Consider the following 19107-nt stretch of genomic DNA (forward strand, 5'->3'; position numbering starts at 1 on the left):
CCTTCTATGATTCAATGGCAGGGCCTTTGCCTTGCTTCTTCTGCCTAGAATGCTTTTTTCATCCACATCCATACTGTTCACTCACCATCTTCATGTCTTTATTCATCTGCTGCCTTCTCAAAGAAGTTTTCTCTGGATACTAAAATCACAAACTTCCCAACACCCTGGTACTCTGATGTATCCCTGCCTGTGTTATTTTTTCCTAGCACTTATCATCTATATATTTTACTTATTTTGCTTATCTGTGTCCTGCTACTGAAATATATGAGCTGTGGGATTAAAAACTTTTGTCAACTTTGCCCCTGTTATATCTTCAACATGTGGAACAATATCTAGAACGGCACACATTTCACAGTATGGAGACTTTCAGTCTCCAGTGAAAGCATTACTAAGTTATTTAAAGTAATACTACAAACACAAACAATGATACACACTAAATAATGTACAAATTTTTATACGTAATAAAAGCAATAAATATTTTATAATATAGTAAAAAATACAAGGATAAAACCAGTACAGTGGAACTTCTATTCTGAAGGCCTTGTGGGGCAAAGGGAACAGAATTCAAAACCCACATTAGATGCAGTCTAACAGAGGACTCTTCCCACCAAAAGCTGGTATACCAAACAACTATACCCTCGAGGTTAAAGTAAATCATAAGTAAGATCTTATTTTCCTATAGTCAATTCCTTTCAAGCTCTTCTTGAAAGAGAATAACAGAGAAGTGAATCAAATAGAGTGCTTCATTAAGGTCAACTGCTTGGGTGGTCCAGACACTCAAGACCTTAAACTCTGTGGGCTCAGACTGGTAGTACTCCCAACCAACAGCCAAACAAAATGCAAAATTTCCCTGGAAGAAGGTGTCTGGCCTCAAATTATTCCCACAAATAATTTCCCAAAAGGCACCAGGTACAACAGGAAACAAGAAACCATGAGCCAAGAACAGTATAAAAAGAAACAGACAATAGGAAAAGACCCACTTAAAATCCTAGAGTTATCAGACACGGACTATACAATAACTGAGCAAACTTGACTTTGGGAATTGAAAAATTATAAAAAGTGACATAGATTTTTAAAATAACCAAATGCAATTTCTACAAATAAAAATATAGTAACTGAAATTTAAATTCAGTGGGCATGCATAACAGTAGCTTAGACACAACTCAAGGGATCATTAGTGAATTGAAAGACAAATCAGAAGATACCATTTAGGATACATACAGTAGGTGCTAAAATATTTACTGAATAAACAAAAGAAGAATTAAACACAAAAAGCAAATTACAAATTACAACTGTGTTGACATTGGCACTTTTGTTCTTGCTCCAAAGTTTCGAAAAGAGACTGGTATGATTGGGTGCAGAAACTGAACAAGATAAGCATATTAAAATATATTGAAGGATAGAAATTATTAAAGTGAGCAGGCTGCAGTGGTTTTCTATATAATGGAGATGGGAAAGAAGGAAAGAAAATGGAGAAAAGGAAGAGATGGAAATAGAGAAGGAAGAGATGGAAATGAAGTAGGAATAGATGGAAATGGAGGAGGCAGGAGAGGGAGAAGAGATGAAATACAGGAAGAGGAAATGGAGAACAATGGAAGAGATGGAGGGGAAGAGGAGGTGGATGGAGGAAGCGATAAAAGGAAAAAGAGGAGGGAGAGACTGGAGGAAGAAAGGAGTACAAGAAGGGAGAAGGGGACAAACAGGCAGAAAGAGAAGAGAAGGAAAAAGAAGACCAAGTAAGATAAGGTTTTACTTTTTGTTGCCTTCAAGTAACACTTGGAAACTGTCCCTAGCAAGCACTGAGACACTATAGGCCCACAATGACTTATCTGCATGCCTGAAAGTCAAAAAGCTCTAAAAACCCAACTTTTGTTTTGTCTTTTAAACTCATTTGGTGGCATTAAACTCATCTGAACTCAGTTTATAACAAAACATGATGTGAACTGATATGAGGCTATTTATGTGTATTCTACTCAGTATGAATTCACATACATTTATGGCAAAAACATGGCTGGGCGTAGTGGTTCACATCTGTAATCCCAGCACTTTGGGAGGCCAAGGCAGGTGGATCATTTGAGGCCAGCAGTTTGAGACCAGCCTGGCCAACATGGTGAAACCTCATCTCTACAAAAAACACAAAAATTAGCCAGGCATGGTGGCGCATGCCTGTAATCCCAGCTACTTGAGAGGCTGAGGCAGGAGACTCCCTTGAACCCAGGAAGTGGAGGCTGCAGTGAGCCAAGATCGTGCCACTGCACTTCAGCCTGGGCAACAGAGCGAGATCCTGTCTCAAAAAAAAAAAAAAAAAAAAAACCCAGAAAACATTAATGTGCTTGATTATAGGGTGCTGCCCCAAGCCCAGCAGAAACTGTTACATAATACATGGGGTATGACCTTATTAATTTTCTAAAATCTAATACATTCTGAATTCCAAAACACAAGTGGTCCCCAAGGTTTCAGATAAGGGTCTGTGAATTTATATTAATCACACCTTGTCCTTTTTTTTTCTTTTTCTCACTTCGGGAAAGACATGTATTGAAATGGCTTTTTAAACTTTCCACCTCACTTTTTTTTTTTTTTTTTTTGAGACAGTGTTTTGCTGTTGACACCCAGGCTGGAGTGCAATGGTGTGATCTTGGCTCACTGCAACCTCTGCCTCCCGAGTTCAAGCGATTCCACTGCTTCAGCCTCCTAAGTAGCTGGGATTACAGGCATGCACCACCACGGCCAGCTAATTTTGTCTTTTTGGTAGAGATGGGGTTTCACCATGTTGGCCAGGATAGTCTCAAACTCCTGACCTCAGGTGATCTGCCCTTCTTGGCCTCCCAAAGTGCAGGGATTACAGGCATGAGCCACCACACCTGGCCTCCACTTCACTTTTATGGGTACATGTATTCCAAAACCCGAAACTTCTGCTTCTCAAATTCATATAAACTGCACCATTTTACATGGCAAATAAAAGAGCAAGCCAAAATTTATACCACATCTCATAGAAAAAAATACATCTTATGTGGATTTTCTTCAGTGAAACAAACAGTTCAGTAAGAAGAACCCCCAACACTATAAATTTTCATGCACAAAATATGCTCTGATTCACATTAAGTAGTTTCTTATACCAAAGTTCCTCTCTTCCCTTGAAGCTGTATCCTTCCTTGTTCTAATTAAAACAATGAACAACAAGACTTGGGATTTCTGAGCTGTTTTACACTTCTGCATATCCAGCAGTGACTATGGTTATATCTAACAGCTAAATTACAAACTGAGATTAGGAAACATTAATCCCTATAAACTATTATACCACAGATACCTTGGAAAACTCAAATTTTAGCTGTCTACACTTCCCACACTGTGCTTTTACAACGGGAAGCTCTCCTTGGCTTTTCTCTAATCTCACAGGTCCCTCTAGCTAAGTCTCTTCTGTTGGCTGTTCTTTCTCTACCCAACAATTAAATGTTGAATATTCTCCTTCTCTCCAGACTATACACTCTCTAAATGACCTCATTCATTCTCAACGGTTTTAAATACCTTCTATATGCTGACAACTCTCAAATGTTTGTCTCTAGCCTAGACCATCTCTGAGTTCCAGACCTATATATCCAATTGCCTACTAGGTATCTCCCCCATGGGTATCTCCAAGCCACTCTAATTTCATATAGACACATAAAACCAACATCATCCAAAACTGATCTCCCTAAGTCCTCCCCAATCCCAGTAAATAACGTCACCATCTACTCAGCTGCTCAGGCTCATAATGTGCTCAAGTTTTCCTTTGACCCACAGAGATCGTCTACCAACAGTTCTTGTGCTTAAATCCACTGTTTCTCTTTACCTCTGCTGCCACTCCTAATCTAAGGCCAGACCAGTATTGTCTCTGCCTATACTACTACCAGAGCCTCTTAACTGGTCTCCTTGCTTCTATTTTTGACTTCTTTCCAAACCACAAAGTAGACAATATAATCCTCTAAAAAATAATTTGGATCAACAGCTGCCAAAAACACTAAATGAAAGGCTGAGGGGGAACTGTATAAAGGACAGATCAGGCTGATAACACCTAAACCCACTGCTCAATATTAGGATCACAAAGAAAGACAATCAGACAGTGTATGCCTTCTGACAGAAATCCAAAATACCACACATGAAAATATGTACCAACCCCACTCTAATAAATTAGACTTGATTCTGATCAAGCCATTAGAAAAATTTTCAATTTTGAGGAAATACAGGAGATAAACATTAAAAAGCAGAAATATAAAAGCACCACACAACACAATAAAAAAATCTAGTGTGCAGGAAGAATATTTAACAGATGTTTTTTTCTTCACTAAATAAATGGCAAGAGGAGAAAAAAGTGAGATAAATCCTATAGATGAATAGAGCCTTAAGAGGTATATCAACCAATTGCAATGGTGAACTTTCTTCAAATACTGATTCAAAACAAACTGTAAAAAGATATTTATAAAACAATTGAGAAAATGTGAACACATTTGACACTAAGGGTTAAACTTTTAGGTGTGACAATGGTATTGTAACTGTCTTTCTAAAAGACACTTTATTTGATATACATGATGAGTACCATGTGCACATACACACACATCTTAGTCCAGCAGGATAGCAGGGCTGGGAAAAGATGGGGTAGGGATCTAGATGAATAAATACTAGTCATGTATTGATAATTTCTTGAAACTGGATGATAAGTAGTAATGGAAATTCATTATAATACTATTTCTGGGTATGTCTGAAATGCTTCATTAAAAAATTATAATAATTTTAATCACTTTACTCCCTTGCTTAAAATCCTGCACTGGAATCCCAATAAAATAACTCAAAAGGGTAAAGAAAATAAGACGAGGGTGGAATACGTGAAATCAGCATCTAAAAAATCACAATGAATTCTTAAAAGATGCAAAAAAAGAAGGCACATTCCCTTTGCTCTGAACTGTCAAAAAAAAAAAAAAAGAACGAACAGCTACTGAAGAATAACACCGTTAACACCACAGTAAAGCCACAACTTGTGATTCTCAGAAGCTAAAACAGCAGAGAATTTATCTACCTTGCAGAATAACAGAGAAGTGACTATTTCTAAGCCAGAAAGTACAGGGATGAGCACAAGGAGCAACTGAAAATCTACGGAATCGTTTTATCAAACTCTTTCCCATCCCTGATTCAGGGAACACAACATTTTACACACAAATGTGCACATGAGTGCACACACACACAGGATTTTGTGGAAATGGAACCACGGAAAAAGGAAAAAGCAAGTTCTTGGACACATTTAAACTTTTGTTTGTCAAAGTTAAAATTTAATAGAAGGATTGGGTGAGAAAGTCAAGGATATCTCCCAGAATATAGAATAAGAGAAAGACATAAAACTTGAAAGCGAAGACAAAACATAAAAGACAGAGGATCAACCCAGGAAGTTCAATATCTGAATAACAATTAGGTAAGAAAAGACTAAACTAATAAAGGGGAAAAGCTTACGAAAAAATAATAGGAGAAAACTTCCCAGAGCTAAAGAAAATCACAAGCTTTCAGAAGTAAAAGAATCAAATAGTAAAAATTTAAAACATCTTCAATTTAAACTAAAATGAAAAAATTTAGTAAAATTATTAGAAATTGAAAATTCAAGGACTTCAAAAATAAGACAACTGGCTATATTTTAATATTCACATGCAGATGCAGTATTCTCAGCAGCACAACCTTAGTTAACTATTTTATTTATAAGAAATAAAGTCAGTTCTATACAAAGTTTAATAGAGGCCATGATAATTGATAAAGTATCTTGAAATTTCTAGGTAGATATAACTGACTAGTTAAAAATATATTTGAAGACTTTTGCCCTTTTATTTAAAGGGGTCCCTTAAAAATTCAAGACTTTGAACAGTCCAATGAAGTAACGGGACAATCACAATTTAAACCATTATTTGGTATTAATGAAATTAAATAACACATGCCATAATAGCCATAACAGCAAACTAAATAATAAATGAGGCTCAGAATCAGGTTTATTTAGAACCTTTACAAAATTTAGTCATTTCAACTACTTAAATTTTCAAGACAGTTTAGCCTACTGCAGCTTTAAGAACATCAATTGTACTATTCTATATGTACAAAGAAAACATGTAAACCTTTTCTTGAAGATTCAAGTTTATTAGCAACATCAGGTTTGAGGATATGTTACTATTGGTGCCCAACCCCCTGCACCCGTTAAATGAGACTGCCTTAGAAGGACACTATTTATTCAAAGGTACAGTATATTCACTTAGATGCCCTTAACACAGACCTAAAACACAGGATGGTTGTACAACACCTTCAATGGCTACAGCAGGAAGGTACCATAGGGTGGCTTTATTTTAGTCATTGTCTATTTTCAATCTTAGTGCCTGCTACTTACTGCCTGTATTACTGCTAATGCCCAATCTTCTGTCTCTTGTAATTTACTTTTTCACCTTATAGACTTCTTTTCCCTCTATCAATGTCCCTACAAGAAAAGTTAGCCTTCTTGCCAGTAAGTCAAATGGTTGCTTTCTTTCATTAATTTAAATTACCTGATCCCAGTGTATCACAAAGAATATTCAACAGCATGGAAGAAGAGAGATCTATTTAGTACTAATTTATTGCTATTGTTCTATAAACAATTGTAAATCAAGTTTTATATATATATACACACATACCAAGTTATATATTAGTTTGGTGTAGTCCCAGAAGGCTGGTCTCTAGAAAGCCATGGTTATATCATCACTTTTATATATATTTTTAAAGACTCATTTTTGGAATAATAGACTGTGCTGAAATGTTAAAAGTTTAGAAAGAATCTATTTACAACAAAACCTTATTTCTTTCCAGCCACTCTGCAGCATAACAACAAAAGGCCAAATTCCTCTTGCCCGCTTTTTGAGGCAGACTGCAGGGCTCAGCACCACATAATAATCCTACAGGTTTTTAACTCTATCTGGTTTGATTGCCCAGAGCTACTGCATGATTATCTGACTACTTGATTTAATACTCATGGGTAAGGGTGAGGACAACTAAATTGAAAAGCCCCCCAAACCCACCCTCAATTCATAAGTGAAAGCCATTATAGTGCTTCACAAACCCAAGTTTGCCTAGAAATAAAACTGCTAATGAAATCTTTCACATGGTCTTGAAGTTAAGCTTACATAACATATTCAATAGATAATAGATTAATAACTGGAATATATAAAAAGCAAGTATAAATAAACAACCACAAAAAGGTCAAACAACCAAAAAGTTGGCTACAATGCTGAAAGGCATCTACAGAGAAGGAAATATAAATAACCAAACACATGAAGGTGATCAATCTTATCAGAAAGCATAGATGTTTATAAAGGGTGAGATATTTTTCAACCATCTGATAGACAAATTTTAATAATAACCAGAACTGAAAAGAATGTAGGACAGCAGACACTACTGGTGGGAGTGTATGTGGTAAAGCCTCTTTTGGAGCAAATTAGCTATACCTAACACAATTCTAAAATAAATGAAAACTTTGATTCAGAAATTCCACGTCCAGACTATTTTAAGAAATATATCTGTGTGTATATACACAAACACATGTAGTTTGTACAAAGGTGCTTATTTCAGAACCATTTAGAAAAATTATATATAGTAAACAAATTTCTATAGAAGACAAAATGGTTATGATATGTCCATATTATAGAATACTATGCAACCGTTTTAAAAAATGATGCGAAATAACACGATAGTATTTTTTTAAAAAGCTCCATCCCATACTGAGTAAACACAGCAAATGGCAAAATTACATTCAGAATGGTATCATTTACGTAAACACAGTCAAAGCAAAACCATATACTTTGATATTTAGTATGTATGTAAAGGCACAGTAACAGGTAGAAAAAGACATGCTACGTATTAATAAAAGTGTTCTCCTCTGTTTACACCTGGGCTCGGGGCTTGAAGGTGGTTTTGAAGGGATTTTTGCTTTACCTTCATTGTTTGAATTTTGAAAGGGAAATGACATTTGTATATTCGTAAATAAACAAAGTTTGTAAGTTCGTAAATAAACAAAAAACATCAGGTAGGGGCAGTATAATCCATTTGTTTTATATGTTCATGTTTTATATGTTTACATGATTCTGGTATAGTGTATGTGCACTGGATGTGACAAAGACTAATACGCAGGAGTATATATCAAACTGTTAAGAACTATATAAATCCCAAGACAGCCTATCACTATATACATATCTTTATTGTTTAAATTTTTTATAAAGGTATATATTTTTGAAGAAGAGAATTAGCTGAAATGTTACCCTCTGATCTTTGTCAGAGGTTGTTACTTTTTTAAAAATAATTAATATATTCCTCAACAGTCCAAATGTTATGTATTATTTGAAAAAAGAAAAACTAAGTAAATATAAAACTATAACCATTGAACCTAAAATGTTTAAGAAATAAAATAAAATCTGGATATGGCCCACACCAAATGCAACATTTAGGGTTATCTACAAATTAGGTTTGGTTTTTTTTTTTTAAAAAGGAAGAAACTTGGCAATGCCCTTAAGTATATGAGAACTTATTTGTTAATCCTGCTTTTGTCTTAAAAATTGGTAGTTGAAAAATTATTTTCTCATTTATTTCCATAAGATCATATAAAATAGTTACATAAATTCTTGGAATAAATCATAACGATATGCCAAACCAAATTTTCTATCAGATTTCCATTTAAATGTACATAATAGTTCAAATGACTGTCTACCAACACCATCATTTTGATATATTTGTATCCTATCTCTCATAGCCCCTAGGGGAATTACTTCTTAGAAGAGTTCACTACATACATAGTCAAAGGAAGGCTGAAACTGTTAAGAGTTAAAACCTCCATATATGGACCAGTCTTCCTTAAGAACCTGGCAAAAAAACACTCAAAACATTTTTGAGGAACCTCAGGTTTCCCTTCATACATATCTGTGATGTTGATGTGATTATAAAGTATATCTCTAGGCCTCGTAACAAAAAAAGGTGTAATGAAAAAAGAAAAAAAGCTCAAGTATTAAGTGTTATAATGGAAAATACCAAACACACATTTGGGACCCTAGATTTGGTACTGGTTTGCTTTCTGTGCCTGGATCTGGGACATATTGTCTCAGCAGGTCTCAGTTTCCCAATCTGTAAGATGGAAATACCAAAACACTCTGAACACTTCACAGAGTTGTTCACACCTGAGGAGTTAATATATATTAAGTATACAAAAGTGCTTTGGAGAACTATAATGCCTAATAAGGCATTATAGAAATAATGTGTTTTTAAAATTATCCTTACCAAACTAAAACACTGGCAAAATCAATTTTTAATCAAATTATACCCTGTGCATAATCTTAAAAGGCTAAATATTTTCTAGAAAAATGTTGGGACACTGACAATTAACAATCATATGAATTAAAATAATGCCCATGGCAAGCCATTTTGCTTCTTTAAATATTTTATTTCCACAGAATTCTACTTGTGTCAAATACAACAGGAAGGATATCAAGCTAGCTAGTCAAATCTTCCTGCTAAAATCTGTCATTCCTCCAAAGGCAATGTTCTTCCTCTAAGCTTCTGCACATATTCCACGTTTCTTCCAATATCCCTTCATATCTACCACCAAGACTGAAGCTTGCTTGGGTTGCAAGGTAAATTGTCACCTCATGCTTGCCAGATCCCACACAGACACATCAAGTGAAAAAAGATGTCAAATGACATGCACACACATGCATAAATGTACACACAAGTGTACACACATGCATAAACACACAAGTGTCCTTCATTCTTTAGGGAGAAATATATTTCTTACACAGCAAATGATCGTCACCTTAAAAGGAAGTGTATAACACAAGCAAAAGAAGAAAAATAAATCTTACTCACCATCTCCCATAGCCATTAGATGGTCCAGGGAGCTCTCTGAAACCAAGAGGTCAAATAGCACAGCAAATAAGTACAGCTCAGTGCCTGCGCCACTGGGCTCGGCCTGCAGCCTGCAGACACCCGGAGCACTGTGTGACCCAGGCCTCGCTGCAGCTCTGCACCGCAATAGCCAACAGCTGCTACTCCACTTCAAAATAAAAGTCTGGGGTCTTGCTGAAAACCCTCGTTTATTTAGCACAGCCTAGAAGGACTTGATTAAGATTACTCTTTAGCTGCACATATGCTGTTGGATACAGGTTATGATGTTTCTCCTTGTACTGGCTGCCTGAAATTTAATCTAAGAAAAGCTCTGAGAGCCAATAAATGCCATCCCGCTGGGGGACTTTTAATGCAATCATCAAAACACAAGGCATGTGTTCAGCAATCATTTTCTGCTTCCCTAAAGATATCCATGTAATCAGTAGCAATCACATGATCTGATGGATTAACTGATTTGCGCCTTTTTAAAAAGGTTTTCATCCTTTTGTCGTTACCTTTTAATATTTACAACAGAAGATTGCTAGAAGTGCATAAACAGGAATAGCCCAGTTTCCATGATTAACTGCTCTCATTATGCAGGAAGCATTTCTGGCTGCCGTAAACAAATCACGTCAAAGGCAGCCCATCAAAGGCTGCTCTGTGCGCGGACAGCAGGGCCACACGGAACAAAGCTTACTTCTGGTGGAGACAGAACCTAGCCAATGCGCAGCTGCAGGGGCGCAGAGCACCCTCTATCCAAGCTGACAACCATCAGCACATTGTCAAGCTCTGAAGGCAGGCCCTGGAGCTCATGATCACAAACAGATACATTTTAAAAATCAACCAAAGAAAAGAGCTGCTTTGCTTTTCACCAAAGGGTATGTTATAAAAATATACAAAACTAGACTGGAAGTTATCTTATTGACTCATAGAAGCCAAATATTAAGGTAATTTCAAAGCCTCATTTCCAGGTTTTATTTTATTGCCAGCCTCCAAGAACAATTCTTTTCCTAGCAACTGTTTCAAACAGAGAAGCCAGAAAATACTTTACTAATGATTGCATGGCCAAGACTGCATTAGGTCCTAAACACACACTCGACAAATAAGAATTATGCATAGTTTTTTTCACAGTGAAAGAGAAAAGGATTTGCAATTACAGCCACCAACACTGTTAGTGTTTACATCCTTGGTTTGTGCAGGAGACTGTCTAGAAAGCTCCATAACGACACCAGCGCCTGCCATAATCGCAGGGGGTCTCCAACTTTCAGTCTTTTCTTTCCTACAGGGCTGGTGTTCCCTCCTTCTAGTCACGATCTGACAGATTTTAAATCCAGTTTTCTTCTAACAGCAGAGCTAATTCTACTGCATTTAGGGACTCTGCCTAACTTACTTTTACAATATAACAAGTTGAGTTCAAAAAACCATCAAATACTCTATAACTCACTTAATGACTGTTCAGATGACAACTTTTAGCTATAAAAAAGTTATATCACCTTTACAACAAATCCTTTGGTTTCTTGTATTTAGTAAAATGATTTTTTTCATCACGAAACACTCTAAATCAATATGCTGTAAGATGTATGATGTGTCATTATTATGGTTTCAGGCAAAGACACACCAAAAAATTTTGTTTACCATAATAGTTTCTGGTCACAGAATATCAGGTGGAACAAATTTGAATTGCGTGCCATTTTTGGACAGACCCAAAACAATTTATTTTGCATAAATGCACCAAGTGAGGGAGAGAAAAGGTAGTATCTTCAACAGCTCTTTGTGTGCATGAACTATTTCCACAAGATTTCATGCCGAGCCTTTACTCTGTCCTAAAATGTTTTCCTGTTTCTATCACTTTATTTACAGTTTTAGTTTTAGTTTTAGTGTGCAATAAAAATGAATCAACAAAGGCCTGAAAATTTTGTGGGGAAAAATTGTGCAGAAATAAAGAAGAAGTTGAATTAAACTCCATGATATTACTTCATGTACAATTTCCCTTCAAATTGTTACTTATAAAAATTTGTTTTCAGTATTCAATTGATATATTTTTCTACCTGGGAAAACTACTCAAGTATCATGGGCTGGGATGAAACACACCGTAATTTTTCTCATTAACACTGGTGAAAATAATTTTTTCATCTAATGGTCTTTCACTTGGCAGCAGGGTATTTAGGAATAATTTAAACTCATTAAACAAGGAGTAGTTATATTTCCTCCATTACCAACTGTAACCACATTGTATATCCATTTATTTACTTGTTTATGATCTATCTCCATCACTAGATTATAGGCTCCTTAAGGGGAGAAATTTCATTATCTTCTTCCTGTTGTGACATGATCTAATTTACATTTTAAGAAGATCCCTATGATTTCTGAGTAGCAAATGGATTCCTGGGGGCAAACATGGAACAGAAGTCTACAGAAGTAGTCCAGGCAAAAGCTAAAGGAGATTTAGAGAGGATATTAGCAGTGGAGATGGAAAAAATAAGCAAATTTGGGATATGTTAGTATTTCAGAAGTAGAAATGTTTGATCAGTTAGAATAGGAAATCAAGTCAGGTTTCTAGCTTGAGCTGATGATGGTGCCACTGACTAAAATGGCTAAGACTGGAGAAGGAACAGATCTGAGAGGCAAGAAAAGATAACAGGGTTTCATTTTTGGACATAGGAAGCTTGAAATGCCTATTAGGCAGCCAAATGGGAACGTCATCAAGGCCACAGGCTAACAAGTCTAGACCTAACCCAAAGGAGAGATGAATGATGGCTAGACCTACATACTGGGAATCATTAGCAAAGAGTTATCATTTAAAGCCTTTGAGTGGGGTTGGATCACTAAGAAAGAGAGAATAAAAACAGGGAAGAGGAGGCCTGGGCCCTGGGATTTTCCAACGTGATAAATAGGTTTCCTTCTTCTAGCATCCTCTTGTTAATTAATTCATTAAGGAATTTTTCAGTGACAGCATATTATCATCAAAAACATTATGACCAATATGACTTTAACTTTCACATTTGACCATACTTGCAATATTCAGACTGTAATCATCAATGCAAACAATCTTTGAAGTCTTCTTCAAAAAAAATAAATGCCAGAGACTAACTCCGAACCTCCCTGTTTATGGAGTGATAAACAAGAGAAAAAGTAATGGGAACTAAAGAAACAAAAAAGCTCTATTTTGAAGGTAACAGAAATAATGTCACAAAATACAAGAATAACAGTGCTTTCGAAATAAACCATACCCAAGCAATGAATACCTTAGATTTTATAGGTATTCTACTTTTTTCCTTAGAGTTGTAACTAACTTAGTCTGAAATACACAAACGATCATGTTATGAAAACACACAAGTTCAAGCATCTTGTCAAATCTCTTCCTACTGTTTCTGGTTTCTACAGAAATTGACAGAGGTAACTGCTAGAAAAATAAGGAGAAGATACTTAAAACACTTTCTATTCAGAGAAGTGAAGTGAGAATCTTCTGGCATTCAAGGTGAGGACTGGTAGCACTGAAGTCAATTTATGCTTCTGGAACTAAGTTTAGATGTGGGTAAACACAATCTTTCTAACACTCACTTACTCCATCTGACTTCCCGCAACACATCCTCAGTCTTGGTTTAACCCAAAGAACAGTAACTAAATTATATTAGTAACTAGTTTTCCAATTATTTGACTGTAAATTCACACACCAAATTTTTACTCCAACATCATTTATATTACTAAACTAACCACACTCTCTTTAATATGAAACTACTTTACTAGGTGGAAAAGCAACCTATATTATCTTTGGAAATAGAATATATTCTTTACATATATGGCTAATTAATATTTAAAGTCTCAAGTGTAGGTAAATGCTACCCAACAAAGCTAAACATAATTTATCAACTTTACAAAAAGGAGAGGAACCACAAAAATCAAATCAATACCAGATATTAACTCCAGACCTCCCTGAATTCCAACTTGGTCTCATTCTACTTAAGCCTGAGGTGATTATGCTAGTGAAGTTCCTGTGTATGAGTCTCTTGATCAGTTATAGTCTCTTGATCTATTATAGTCTGTACACAGATATAATAGAACCCATCAACCCCACAATTTCTATTAAAGACAACTAAGTAAAACAATTATTCTAGGTATAAAAACACATTGTATGCATGGAAAATGGAGGGCAAGAAGGTCATCATACCTCAACCCAGAAGACACAAAAAACAAGGCAGTATCACCAAAAAAAAAAAAAAAAAAAAGAACAGTATCATTTTACACAACTGACTCACTATTAAATTTCCACTCACTCCAAAAGAATCAGAGGATAGATAATTATCAGCAGGATGTAAATATTTTGTTATTATATCTCAACTAAGTTTTCAAGCCACAAAATCAACTCTTTTGAATCAGTGATATATAATACATTTTAGTGCCTAAAACTTTGCTAAATAGTCTTAGAAATGTTTGAGAGCTTAATTACTCTTACCTTTGCAGACACTCAAAATCATACCGCCTGAACTTTGCACTTCATCAAATTTGGCAAATATCATTTCTAATCTGGGAATAAAGAATAAATTGGGTTTGTTTGATTTTTTAAAACATATAGATTAAATAGAAACAATTTCCTTCACCATTCCCTTAGAAAAAACAATTGTAGGGATTCAGCTAGTTTTCTATACAACTCTCTTTCACAATTAACGCACTGAAAGAAGACACAAAACCCATCTCTCTTCAGTTGAAAGAAGTCACATATAGGTAGGACTCTACATATTTGCAGGTATGTTTGTGAAAAGACAATTTTTACACAAAGCAGTTTCTCATGTTTCATCATAAAATCATTCCTCCAAATCCATCAAAAATATCCTAGTTTCAACCTCATAATAAGTCTACTCAGTCACCAAGACATCTTTTAAAGGCATATAAAAATCATGCCAAAGTAACTTAAGGCAAACATACAAACAATAAAATATAAAATATCAAAAACTAAAGAGATGGCTAATATCACTGATAATCTGATGCTATCCCTGTTTCACACGACTGTTTTCATACAACACCAATTCCACTGGTCCTTCTAATTTTATATTCAGGATAATTACACTTTCTGCACTTCTGCTATCACTTTTCTTAGTTAAAAATGTATTTATTACAAAAGTAATGTACATTCATTATAAAAGAAAATTAGGAAATATAAATAGGAACAAAGAAAAAACCACATTTCTATCATTCAGAGAATGTATTTATTAACTGTATCCTTTCTGATACTTTTATATTCATATACAAATTTTCTTCAGAGTGAAATGGGATAAAACTGACAGCACTTTTTTTTTAGTTTGCTTTTCTTTCTCTTTCCAATATATTGTGCTATGATTCATTCTTAAATTTGTGACTTAGAGAATTGAGGAAGAGAGGAGGGTCACTGACATATTGCCTTTAGTTGCCAAATGTTCTTCTCTGACTCACCCATATACATGTGTCAAATTTCATTTCCTAAAACCTTACTTAAGCCTTGGTCCTCATCGTGGTCATTTCTTACCAGTAAATTATAGATACAGATACTTTTTGAAATAAATTATTGGCTTATTTCAGTAAGAACTAAAAAATTTTTTTAGTTGAAATCTCCTAGGAATTCATTATAATAGGATTTCTAAACCTTAACATCACCTCCTACTTCCAATAAATTCAACAAATACAACTATTTACATATAGAAAGCATTTCAGTTCAAAGACACAGGTCTCTTTATCCTACAGAGTAGTATATTCTGGAGGGTTGAACAGACACCAAGCAGGTTGCCCAGACACAAGAGGTGGACATAAGATAGAAGGAAGCATTGGAATTGGAGGCTGGAACCTCAGAAAGGAGGCTGGGCGTGGTGGCTCATGCCTATAATCCCAACACTTTGGGAGGCCAAGCAGCGCAGATCACCTGAGCACAGGAGTTCAAGACCAGCCTGGCCAACATGGCAAAACACACATCCCTACCAAAAATACAAAAATCAGCTGGGCGTGGTGGCACATATTTGTAGTCCCAGCTACTAGGGAGGCTGAGGCACAAGAATCGCTTGAACCTGGGAGACAGAAGTTGCAGTGAGCCGAGATCCTGACACTGCACACTCCAGCCTGGGTGACAGAGCGAGATTTTGTCTCAAAAAAAAAAAAAGAAAGAAAGAAAGGAGAGGATTTCGGAGAGCTGTTTGAGAAAAAGCAGAACAAGACATGAAGGGGCATAACATTTGGCTATAGATTAGAAGAACAGGAGTAAAAACTTTAGGACAGAAAGCTCAGAAAGAGAAGTGGGTTGGCAAGGAATTAAGGTAAGGCAGATAATACATGGAGACAGGAATCTGGATGTAAGCAGCTTTAGTGGAAGAGGGTTCAAATGAAATAGTAGGCAAATATAATACGAATATGGGAGAGAGGAGGGGAGGGGAAAAGAAGAAAAAGGGGCCAGAGTAGAAGGTATCACCCAAAGGTCTTTTGGGACTGGGTTGGGCTAAGAAAGACACACAGAGTAGATGATTGCCTCGCAGCATTAACCTTGCTGCCAGCTCTTCAGTTACTCAATACACTCTTCCTATGACTGTTCTACTCTCTCTTCTCAGTCACTCTTTCCTTCTAATGATTCTCACTTTACCAACTTTCAAGTAAAATTAACATCTGACTTTTGTTTGGTATTTATTAAAAATATTTTAGTCACTTGTTCAAAATTTTATAAAGGATAAGTTCATAACTTATCTTTAAAGCAAACAAAACAACACAGTATAATTTTCTACGTGGCCCTCACTGAATCCCTCCAACCCCATCATCAAACTCTATACACTTATTTTAGAAAAACAAACGCATTTATAATAGATGATTATTATACATATAATTTGGTGAAAAAAGGAAGAAATAAACAATTTAAGAGCAGAAAGAAGAGCCTAAGATATTTTAAGTAATTCAGGGGAAGAAATTAGGAAATTCAATGGAAGAAAAATACAACAGAGACTGGATTGTCCAAAAGATTATAAACACAATTTAGGAGGCCCACAAAGCTCTAGGAAGGTTCTGACTTAGGATAAGGATAGAGGCCAGTAAAGTATTAGGAAGGTTCTAACTCATAGGGTAAGGAGGACAGAATTAGAAAAGCAACCCTAACCAAAGTCCAGACTTAAAAGTTTAGAATAAGAATAGTAAATCCCAAGTATAACATGAAAGAGACAATTAGGTATCTCAGACTTTATCTTTCTAAAATAACAGTATTATTGAGGTAGAATTCAATACCATACAATTCACCTCTTCAAACTGTACAATATAACGATTTTTAGTATATCTGCAGAGTTGTGCAACCAAATAATCCATTTTAGAACATTTTCATCACCCCAAAAAATAACCACATACCCATTAGCAATCATTCCCCATTTACCCTGATCTCTCCAGTCCTAGGCAAACACTAATCTACTTCCTTTCTCTAAAGACTATATCTAGCCTATGAGTTGCCATATCTGGCCATTTCATATAAATGGAATCATACAATATGTGGCCTTTTGTGACTGGCTTCTTTCATGAATGTTTTCAAGGTTGATGCATGATGTATCAGTCATCCCTGTTGTGACCAAATAATATTCCATCGTATGGATTTACCACATTTTGTTTATCTATTCACCAAGTAATGGACATATGTAGATGTGGGGTGTCTCTATTTTTTGGCTATTATAAATAATGCTGTTATGAACACCTGTGTGTAGGTTTTTGTGAGGAATGTTTTCATATCACTTGCATATACAGCCAGGAATGGAATTACTAGGTTATATGATAATTCTATGTTTGACATTTTGAGGAATTATAAACTGTTTCCAAAGTTGCTGCACCATTTTACATTCCCAATGGCAATGTATGAGGGTTCCAATTGCTCTACATCCTCATCAATATTTGTTATTGTCTATCATTTTTATTTGTCTATCAGTTTTTATTTTCGTCATCCTGGGGGTGCATAATAGTTTTGATCTGTATTTCCCTCATGGTTAAATGGTGTTAAACATCTTTCTATGTGCTATTGCCATCTGTATATTCTTTTTGAAGAAATTCAAATATTTTGTCTGTTTTAAAAATTGGGTTATCTGTCCTTTTACTATTGAGTTGTAAAGAGCCCCTTATAACAGTCAAGATACGTGTCTTAGAAGATATTTGATTTTGGCCAGGTACGGTGGCTCATGCCTGTAATCCCAGCACTTTAGGAGGCCGAGGCAGGCGGATCACTTGAGGTCAAAGGTTAAAGACCAGCCTGGCCAACATGGTGAAACCCCATCTGTACTGAAAATACAAAACATAGCTGGGTATGGTTGTGTGCACCTATAATCCCAGCTACTCAGTAGGCTGAGGCAGGAGAATTGCTTGAAGGGAGATGGAGGGTGCAGTGAGCCGAGATCGTGTCACTGCACTCCAGCCTGGGTGACAGAGTGAGACTATCTCAAAAAAAAAAAAAAAAAAAAAAGACATTTGATTTGCAAGTATTTACTCCCATAATATGAGTTTTCTTTTACTTTCTTGATGGCGTTCCTTGAAGCATAAGTTTTTAATTTTGATGATATCCAATTTATCTATTTTTCTCCATTGGTTGCTTGTGTTTTGGTGTTGTATCTAAGAAACCATTGCCTAGTATTTTCTAAGAGTTTTATTATTTTGGCTCTTACATTTGGTTGTATGATCCATTTTGAGTTAATTTTTGGGTGTGGAGTGAGGAAGAGTTGCAACTTCATTCTTTTGCCTGGGGATATCCAGTTTATAAAGCACCACTGCTGAAAACACTATTCTTTCCTGCTCTATTAAATGGTCTTGGCACCTCTGACAAAAATCAACAGACCAAAAATATGAGTTTATTTCAGTATAGTTCCATCGATCTATATCTAGTGTTATGCTAGTACCATACCACCAGAACTTACTTTTTAAAAAATATTTGATAGAAAAAAATTGTTTAATTATTATTTTAAAACTATTTGACCTCACTGGGCGCAGTGGCCCACACCTGTAATCCCAGCACTTTGGGAGGCTGAAGCAGGCAAATCACAAGGTCAGGAGTTTGAGACCAGCCTGGCCAACACAGTGAAACCCCGTCTCTACTAAAAGTACAAAAAATTAGCCCGGTGTGGTAGCAGGGGCCTGTAATCCCAGCTACTTGGGAGGCTGAGGCAAGAGAATCGCTTGAACCCAGAAGACGGAGGTTGCAGTGAGCTGAGATCGTGCCATTGCACTCCGGCTCAGGTG

General features: G+C 35.8%; 1 protein-coding gene across 64 annotated transcripts in view, besides 1 other annotated feature; it reads right to left on the reverse strand.

The window, feature by feature from the left end:
• Positions 1-19107, reverse strand: part of CLASP2 (cytoplasmic linker associated protein 2) — a 222010-nt gene that overhangs the window by 152847 nt on the left and 50056 nt on the right. For 40 of the 64 annotated variants that reach the window (NM_001375713.1, NM_001400406.1, NM_001375705.1 and 37 more), the window contains one exon: positions 14354-14424. In NM_001375713.1, the coding sequence (NP_001362642.1) occupies positions 14354-14424 (71 nt within the window). Of the gene's footprint in view, positions 1-9882; positions 10017-10415; positions 10589-14353; positions 14425-19107 lie in introns of those variants that run through there. The other 24 variants (NM_001400437.1, NM_001400433.1, XM_047447764.1 and 21 more) reach the window with 2 other exon arrangements.
• Positions 10276-10325: an enhancer, noted in NCBI's record as "active region_19650". NCBI's record gives its function as "activates an Ori minimal core promoter by ATAC-STARR-seq in GM12878 lymphoblastoid cells {active_cell/tissue: GM12878}" and the evidence as "EXISTENCE:reporter gene assay evidence [ECO:0000049][PMID:35858748]".

Source organism: Homo sapiens, chromosome 3 (genome assembly GCF_000001405.40).
Source record: "Homo sapiens chromosome 3, GRCh38.p14 Primary Assembly".
Classification (NCBI taxonomy): Eukaryota; Metazoa; Chordata; class Mammalia; order Primates; family Hominidae; genus Homo; species Homo sapiens.